The sequence below is a fragment of the Homo sapiens genome, chromosome 11 (assembly GCF_000001405.40).
Source record: "Homo sapiens chromosome 11, GRCh38.p14 Primary Assembly".
In the NCBI taxonomy this organism is placed as follows: domain Eukaryota; kingdom Metazoa; phylum Chordata; class Mammalia; order Primates; family Hominidae; genus Homo; species Homo sapiens.
The window spans coordinates 4,612,537-4,622,747 of NC_000011.10; positions in this window are offsets into that span (position 1 = coordinate 4,612,537).

A 10,211-nucleotide genomic window follows, 5' to 3' on the forward strand; every position below is an offset into this window, starting at 1 on the left:
ACATTTGTTGTATGCCCCTGAGATTTTGGATTTTCTGTCATGGTATGAAAGCTGATTAATTAGGTAGGAAGGTGACTTCTATGGCTTTTCTTTGGGAGAAGTAGACGCCCCAAGAAAAGGAAAATTGGTCAAACATAGGAAGAGCACTCAAGTGCCAGCTACAGTGAATGACAAATACCCACCACAAGCACAAGCTCTACATTCACAAAAACTTGGAAAACACAAGTAAGTCCTCAGAACAAAACATGGCTACCACATAGTATAATAGCTCATTCCCTAGTCAAAGAGAAATTTAGATCCACATTGCCATCACTGGCCACAGTCCTTAAAGAGAATTATAATGCTCTCTGGGGAGAGACCAGAAAGGAAACACAAGGGGAAAAAACAGGATTGATGGTTTCAGGTTTTCAGAACTGTTTTATTTGTCAGTTGGTGTCTATCGTTTGGTGTCTAGAGCCCGGAAATTAACTCAGGATATACCTAATGTTAAATGACGAGGTGATGGGTGCAGCACACCAATATGGCACATGTATACATATGTAACAAACCTGCACATTGTGCACATGTACCCTAAAACTTAAAGTGTAATAATAATAAAATTAAAAATAAATAAATAAATACATAAAAAGAAGAGTGAAACTATGATTTCCTTACAATGTGAGAAAAAAATCCACCTATTTAAATAATTTTTTATTTGAAGGAAATGGTGTATGAAACACTTCTGTTTTCTCAAATTAAAATTTGCAATATGCCATTCTTCCCTTAAGTATTATGCATATTACAAAACCTCCACACTTCCTTTTCCATCTCCTCTTTGTCCATTTTGTTCCAAGCACCCCAGTGCAGCATTGAGAGTATTCTTTAGGGAGAAACAGCTACATTCTTTTGGGCAGTGTCTTGGTCAATTTATGCTGTTATAACAAAATACCTGAGACTGAGTAATTGATAAAGAATAGAAATGTATTTCTCACAGTTCTGGAGACTGGGAAGCCTAAGACCAAGTCACTGGCAGGTTAGGTGTCTGGTGAGGGCCTGGTACCTGCTTCCAAGATGGGACCTTAAACTCTGTGCCCTACAGAGAGGATGAATGCTGTGTCTTCGTCTTCACATGGCAGAAAATGCAGAAGGGCAAGAGGGCTTAATGCATCCCTTCCAGCCCTTTTATAAGCTTGCTAATCGCATTCATGAGGGCAGAGCCCTCCTGGCTTAATCACTTCCTAAAGGCTCTATTACTTAATACGATCACACTAAGTTCCAATATATAAAGTTTAGAGGGACAAATATATTCACACCATGTCAAACAAGATGCATTCTATTGAGCAAAAATACATTTCAAAAAAAGTTTAAGGCCTGACATTTTCCACAGTTCTTAGTACCTCTCTTTTCTTTGTATTTCATGGCATCTATCACAAATTTCTAAGGACTCTTTAGCTCTTCACCAAAGTGCCTTCTTCCTGTGCTGGATTTCCTTAGGTCTGTGAGTCTGGCTGTCCACGGGAGGTTTACTATTGCTGGCCACATTCATGAGAGCTATAAAATCATGATCATCTGGTTCCTGAACCTAAGCTTCTGTTTTATTCCAGAGCCCAAGCCTTCAGAGACCCAGAGACCTATTCTTGGATATACACATCTTCCCAGATTTTTGCTTCTCCTCACTTAGACTTTATATTCTCCAGAATTTCTATAAATGTTGTTACCTCTTTTACTAAGTAGTAAACTATGACTTTAACTTCCTTTAATACTCTATTTCCCTCTTTTTTTCCCTGTCAGTACAAGTAGGTCCATCATTTTTTTTGTAAACGCATTAGCTCCATTTTTCTCTACCACTTATAATAGCCACATATTTGCTAGATCAGAATGTCTTCTGATCTAGCAGAAGACACCTAATTTTCTTTTTCAACTCACCCTAATTTTATTTTTCAACTCAACTCCTAAGGAAATTTTTTTTCCTTCAATTTCTGATACACTCTTAATTTGTTTCCACTTCTAAAGCTAAAACTGTCTTGTAGATACCTCTGTAACTCTTCATCAAGGCACTCTGTCATTCTTTTATCTGTTGACTAAAATGATGCATCTGACACTGCTATTTCCATGCCAATCTGATTAAGAAAGCAACGCCATTCTTGTTATAGGTTTCCTTTCATTCTTTATTGGCCTTAGGATTTGTGATTATTTTATTCCCGCCTCCTGTCCCCCTGCCTCCCACATTGGTTGAAAATGAAACTTCTTCTTTATCTGCTTATGATGATATTTGCTGTGCTTGGACCCATGTTCCAGAGCTCTTAAATCTACAACTTTGATCAAAGTTTAACCAATAAATGAAATGAGATAATTTGCCAAATGTAGTTGGTTCCCAGGGAAAGACTATAGATAAGACATGCAGTTTACTGAAAGTTAGTCATCTCTCGATTATGATACAGCTTAAAACAGAATTTAAGAAATCCAGAGAAACATATATAATACAGTTTACTAATTCATGGCTGTAACAACCCAAAGGCCTAAAATATTCTTTACAGATCTGTACTTACTTTGAATTTAATTCACTCCAGCCCAGGTAGAATTATTCCACTCTTACCATTTGACTTAAGGAAGAAGACTTTCCTGCCCTGTAAGGTGAATCCCTGGCTCTACAAATCAAGATCTTGCTATCGTGCATGCAAAACCATTTGCGCTTGGATGCCTAAATAAGAGGGAGTCCTTCCCCAGTTCAGCACCTTCAATTGCTCCTATGGTACTTTGCTTCCCAATGACAGAACCTGGTCTAGTTTCTCCCTCATCTGCTAACTAGGCAACATGCTATTGGTCATCTTAACGAGAATAACTTGACAAAATGGAAGTGTATTATTTGGTTCAGAGTGGTTGTAAAAGGTCATAGAGATAAAGGTAGCAGATAGACAGGCACTCTGATTTTGCTAAGGGGACAGATTTAGTGAAGAACAAGAGGCTAAAGATACAAATGAGATGTATATTGAGGGGATGGGGTCCTAGAAGATATGGGAAGGTATGGTGTTCAGAGAACAGGTGGAGAGGTTATCTTGGACAGGAGAGATACCCGACTCTATATACAGAAAAAAAGACAAGAATGGGCGTAGATATGTTTAGAGATGGGGGGATCATCTATAAACCTAAGATTCTCGATTTCTCCATAAATAAGATGTATACCAGATGTTGTTGGTGCCATGTCTTACTGCAAGCCTGTGTCTCTTATCTGAAAGTTTTCCCTTGTGTGGCAAACCAGGAATGCCAGGGAGTTAATAGTCCTGGAGCATCCCTTAGCCAGTGAAAATGGAAGTTGGAGGATTATTACTCAACTTCCTTACTCCTTGGGTGGTATAACTGAGGTATGTTCTACTCCCTCCTTGAAATCTCTAATGGAACTGAGTTCTAGTTGCTCATAGTGGTAACCTACTTGAAGATGTTCACTTTCTTACTCCTCATGTAGTACAACTCTCAGGTATGTTTTACTTCCTCCAAGAGATCTTTAAAGGAATTGAGACCCAGTTGCCCATGGGGATAAACTGACTCCTTTATTGGTTCCCTTCCCTTCCCCTCTCTCCCCCTCCCTTCTCCTTTCCTTTCCTTTCTTTTCCTTCTTCCTAACTCCCCAACTATTTCATCTTGCAGTCATCTCCCAAATAAACTACTTGAACTAAAATCCATATTTCAGTTGTGTTTCTGGGCATCCAACCTATGATAACTCAGATTACCTGCTAAGTAAATTCTCAAACAACTTCTCCATCCACTTTACTCTCTTTCATACTATTGAGTTTTTAGACACTGGAAGGTCTATTTTTTTTTTTTTTTTTTTTTTTTTTTTTTGGGATTGAGGGTTACTTGTTTTGAGGCCTTTGCCAATAGCTTAATAAATAGCTTAAATTGGTACTTCCCTGACACTATTACTGTAATTTGGGATAAGGGGTGGTTATGAAACACAGACCCAGATGACCAATACTCCTCTGGACATGGATAATTATCACATATATCCAGGAACATAATTCGATTTTTTAAAAATATGTAGAATATCTAATCTTTGAATTATATATAAACAGCACTCAAAAGATCACTATTATTATTGATTTTGTGCTAGTAAATTTACATGCATTTCAATTTTTACAACATCTCTATGATGATTTGCCATATTCATCATACAGATGAAGATTCTAATTTATCTACCTGAGAGCCCAAGCTGCGATCTGAACCCTGGTGTGTATGAAAATCCTTTTTTAATTCAACTCTATCGATGTAGCATCCCTGAGTTTGGGAACATTTTATTTTTGAATATTGTGGCTGAGTGCCCTTCCCACAGAGCTATGAACCTTTAGCATGGCATATTAGTCCGTTCTTGCATTGCTATAAAGAAATACCTGAGACTGGGTAATTTATAAAGAAAAGAGATTTAATTGGCTAATGGTTCTTCAGGCTGTACAGGAAGCATGGCGGCTTCTGGGGAAGACTTAGGAAACTTTGACTCATGGTGGAAGGCAAAGTGGGAGCAGGCGTCTTACATGGCTGAAACAGGAGGAAGTGGGGGGAAGGTGTTACACACTTTTAAACAACCAGCTCTTATGTGAGAACTTACTCACTATCATGGGAACAGCACCAATGGGGAAATCTGCCTCCATGATCCAGTCAACTTCCACCAGGCCCCAAGTCCGACACTGGATTGGAGATGACAATTCAACATGAGATTTAAGTGGGGACAGAAATCCAAATCATATCACACCATATAACATGGGTAATAATATTTTGGTTGAGAAGACATATACATATGCACACTCACACATACTCATATACACATATAGGTACAGTATATTGTGTGTGCATAAGTATATGTACATATACACACAGTATATTGCATATGCATAAATATATGTATACAAGTATACATTTAAAATATACCACACTATTATTTACAACAATTTCATCCAATTTGTCTTTATCAATCCTTTGCTTATTCATAGGTTCATAGACTGGGCAACCCTGAGTAGTGGAGAGATCACCAGCCATGTTTCAGGTTGTACGTAAGTTACCCGATTTCTCCCATTAGGCCTGTTTCCTGTCTTTAAATCAGGTTTAATAATACTTAGCTCATAAAATTGGTGTTTCCACTAAATAATGATGTATCTACCACACCTACTAATGTATCTACCATGTCTAACAGTGTTTTGCACACTCACACATGGGAACTATAAAGGAAGGAAAAACTACTTGATGCTGTATGGTATGGGATTGGAAACACCTCCCCGTGCTGGAAATTTGGCACTGATTCAAAGCTTGTGATGACTATGCCTGTGCAGTTTAAACTCGATGGCAGGTATTGATCATCACCATGTCATCAGCACCAGGATTGTGCCTGACATGTATTAGGTGCTGAATACATTTCTGCTGAATGACTAGAACAAATTGCTGTGGAAACTGAGTGGAGTATTAAAAAGGCCTGCTAGGAAAGGACTCACTGCCTGGACCTCATCCTACAATCTGATCTCACAGCCACAGAAAATGGAAATGCTGCCATAGGATAGGGAAGAGTAGTGTTTGCTTCCACTTTGAATCTTCACAGAGGCCAGCCCAACCATAAGTAATTGTTGAGGACCAGACCCTGGAATCCAAATATGCTTTGAGGACTTTTCTGCCTATCCCTGGGAAAACGTTTTTTTGAGTAGTCAGTCGAAAACAGGAACAAGGACCATCCCAGCCATTTGGAGATGAGCAGAGACTCTTGCAGTCCCTCTGTATTGACAAAAGAAGGAGAGGGCAGGGTGCAGTTTCTGAGGCTCAGTTTTTCCTGCCATCTCCTTGGCTTCCTGGAAAGGGACAGCCAAAAGGAAATGGGTATTAAATGTTCTCTGAAGCTTCCCTCTGCCTACACATGGTCTTTGGAGTTGCACGTGGGCTACTCTATCTTACACCGCCTTCCCCAATCTGCAAAGATGTGAGATGAAGGGCACAATTGACACACAGTGTAAACAGTACTAATGCAGCCCTAATTCCATGGGAAGATAGCCATAGTTAGATTTGATTAAAAAAAAAAAAGCATTCCTGGTAGAATGTACATCACATGCAAAGACACGAAGGCACAATAGAACATCGCACAACAGGAAAGTCCCTGGAGAAGACAGCAGGTACTAGATCATGCAGGGCTATTCCCATTGCCAAGCAGTATGAATATGGACTTTATCCAAAGGATAAAGACATTTGAACGTTTAAGATAGGGAATGATATGATGGGATCTGAATGTGTACTAGACAATAGGTACTTGCAAATTTTAACAGATTTATTGGCCACAAAGTTTATTATAAGATGATCACTCATCTGATAATAAGCATGCTGTGATCCAGTATGATTTGTATAGCATGAAATCAAGAAAATATTTTTACCTGTTCAGTTCTGTTTATAATTCTTTTTCTTTTTCCATTAAAAATGCTGCTCCAAACATCATACGTTCTCACTGATATATGGGAGCTAAGCTACAAGGATGCGAAGGCATAAGAATGATACAATGGACTTTGGGGACTTGTGGGATAAAAGACTACAAATAGGGTGCACTGTATACTGCTTGGATGATGGGTGCACCAAGATCTCACAAATCACCACCAAAGAACTTATTCGTGTAAGCAAATACCACCTGTACCCCAATAACCTATGGAAAAATAAAAACAAAATCAACAAAAACAACAAATGCTGCTCCTTACCTCGCTGTACCCATTTGTCTCTGCAGCTATAGCAAAGCTTTCTATGAAGGCACTGTGGTCAGGCATTAACATCCAATTTCCATTAAAGTCTTTCAGCGTTCAACCTTCTAACTTTTGATAAATTAAGTTTAGCCTAAAGCTGCCTCCTTACGTATCTTCAGTTCAGTATAAAAGTTTCTCTTTAGTAGTGAACTGTAACCTAACGAAATGTGTAAAGACTATAACCTATTCTTGTATCAAGCAAAGTTGTAGCCAATCTGTGAAAAATACCCTTACCCATCCAAACCCAAAGAATAGACTCAGGGACCCGGAGAACAGCAGAAGCAAGACTTTTAATGGCAGTCTTGCAAGATCGGCGTCTGGCACGCAGGCACACCTGGGATGGTTACAACAAGCAATTTATTTCCCTCCCCAGTTCCTCACTGGCTGAATACTGTGAGGTTACAATCTTCCCGAACGTCACCTATTGGTAGTTGGGTTAAGGCTTCCAGTGTGTTCTTTAGGGTTTTCCTGCTGCATTTTATTGCAGCCCACAATGCGCTGCGACTATTTCAGGACTTTAAACTTTGACTTACAGCCCTAGTGGCTGTGCTTAGCTGATAAGAAAGGGTATAATTCATTGTAGATTCTGGATATTAGCCCTTTGTCAGATGAGTAGGTTGCGAAAATTTTCTCCCATGTTGTAGGTTGCCTGTCCACTCTGATGGTAGTTTCTTTTGCTGTGCAGAAGCTCTTTAGTTTAATTAGATCCCATTTGTCAATTTTGGCTTTTGTTGCCATTGCTTTTGGTGTTTTGGACATGAAGTCCTTGCCCACGCCTATGTCCTGAATGGTAATGCCTAGGTTTTCTTCTAGGGTTTTTATGGTTTTAGGTCTAACGTTTAAATCTTTAATCCATCTTGAATCGATTTTTGTATAAGGTGTAAGGAAGGGATCCAGTTTCAGCTTTCTACATATGGCTAGCCAGTTTTCCCAGCACCATTTATTAAATAGGGAATCCTTTCCCCATTGCTTGTTTTTCTCAGCTTTGTCAAAGATCAGATAGTTGTAGATATGCGGCATTATTTCTGAGGGCTCTGTTCTGTTCCATTGATCTATATCTCTGTTTTGGTACCAGTACCATGCTGTTTTGGTTACTGTAGCCTTGTAGTATAGTTTGAAGTCAGGTAGTGTGATGCCTCCAGCTTTGTTCTTTTGGCTTAGGATTGACTTGGCGATGCGGGCTCTTTTTTGGTTCCATATGAACTTTAAAGTAGTTTTTTCCAATTCTGTGAAGAAAGTCATTGGTAGCTTGATGGGGATGGCATTGAATCTGTAAATTACCTTGGGCAGTATGGCCATTTTCACGATATTGATTCTTCCTACCCATGAGCATGGAATGTTCTTCCATTTGTTTGTGTCCTCTTTTATTTCCTTGAGCAGTGGTTTGTAGTTCTCCTTGAAGAGGTCCTTCACATCCCTTGTAAGTTGGATTCCTAGGTATTTTATTCTCTTTGAAGCAATTGTGAATGGGAGTTCACTCATGATTTGGCTCTCTGTTTGTCTGTTGTTGGTGTATAAGAATGCTTGTGATTTTTGTACATTGATTTTGTATCCTGAGACTTTGCTGAACTTGCTTATCAGCTTAAGGAGATTTTGGGCTGAGACGATGGGGTTTTCTAGATAAACAATCATGTCGTCTGCAAACAGGGCCATCAGAGAAATGCAAATCAAAACCACTATGAGATATCATCTCACACCAGTTAGAATGGCAATCATTAAAAAGTCAGGAAACAACAGGTGCTGGAGAGGATGTGGAGAAATAGGAACACTTTTACACTGTTGGTGGGACTGTAAACTAGTTCAACCATTGTGGAGGTCAGTGTGGCGATTCCTCAGGGATCTGGCACATATACACCATGGAATACTATGCAGCCATAAAAAATGATGAGTTCATGTCCTTTGTAGGGACATGGATGAAATTGGAAACCATCATTCTCAGTAAACTATCGCAAGAACAAAAAACCAAACACCGCATATTCTCACTCATAGGTGGGAATTGAACAATGAGATCACATGGACACAGGAAGGGGAATATCACACTCTGGGGACTGTGGTGGGGTGGGGGGAGGGGGGAGGGATAGCATTGGGAGATATACCTAATGCTAGATGACACGTTAGTGGGTGCAGCGCACCAGCATGGCACATGTATACATATGTAACTAACCTGCACAATGTGCACATGTACCCTAAAACTTAAAGTATAATTAAAAAAAAAAAAAAGAAAGGGTATAATTACCTAGGTTGTAAACTAGCCTAAACCAAATTCTTTGGTGAGGTGGGAGAGGGAAGTTAAGTGGGGGCCTGACTGACAGGTGCCTAGCTGTTGGGTGAAAGGGGAAAGCAAGAAGAGGGGATGGCTTCGTACATTCTGCTTCTTGGTTTCTTTGTAGCCTGCTTAAACCTATTTCAAGGCCTTTAGAATTGAAAATGGACCACCACATGTATGCTATTTTTTACAAATATCAGGCATTCAACTGTTCTTACCATGTTCAAAGAAGACAAATGCTCATCTGTAACCAATCTAGCTGTTTCTGCACCTCACTTCCATTTTTTTCTATGTCACTTTCCTTTTCCTCTACATAAATATTAGATCATATAGCAGCCCTGGAGTTGCTCTGAACCTGTTCTGGTTTTGAGGGCTGCACAATTCAGAAATCATTCTTTCCTCAGTTGAACTCTACTAAATTTGTCTTAAGTTTATCTTCTAACAGATGGTGTTAGAAGTGGGATTAAAATTCGAGCTTTCAGTGATCCCCAGGAGCATGAATTGACCCAGTGAGGTACCCGTCAGACCCGTTGTGTCCATTGCTCCCTCACAGCAAGTGGGGAAATGGGGCTCATGGGTATATTCTTGCTCCAATTCTAAAGCTCTGTGGATTTGTGTTTTGAGTTATATGAGTTTGAGCACATTTTTTATCTGAATTGGGCTCAGAAGTTGTGACGGAAACTGGACTGGGTGAAGGATCAGACTGGGTCTGATAATCAACTGGATTGGATCTAGTTAGAAGCCTTGAATATCTGAGTGGATCAGACAGAACCTGGCAGGAAATGGCAGTACTGAATTGGCTAGATTGTCTGGGGTATATACCCTGGGGTTCGTTTTCACGCACCAGGAAAATATAGAACAGAGACACACACGAGGAGTTTAAGAGCAGAGGTTTAATAGGTAGAAGAAAAGAGAAAGAGAAATAGCTTCCTCCATAGAGGAAGGGTTCTCTGAGCAGAAAAGAGCAAGCAGAAAGGATTGAGCAGAAAAAAAGACCAGAAATATTCCAAGCAAAAGTCAAAAAGTTTGCTTTAACTTTCGGAGTGAGTGCAGTCCATTTACTTCTTGTTTTGCTTGACATTCATGAACATTTCAGTTCTTCATAAGTCCCATACGTTCTTTCTCTATTCCAATGTTACAATCTTCAAAGCTATTAAAAACCTGATTTGAGAACACCTGTTAAAGTCTTATAGCTTGACTATAGCCCATCT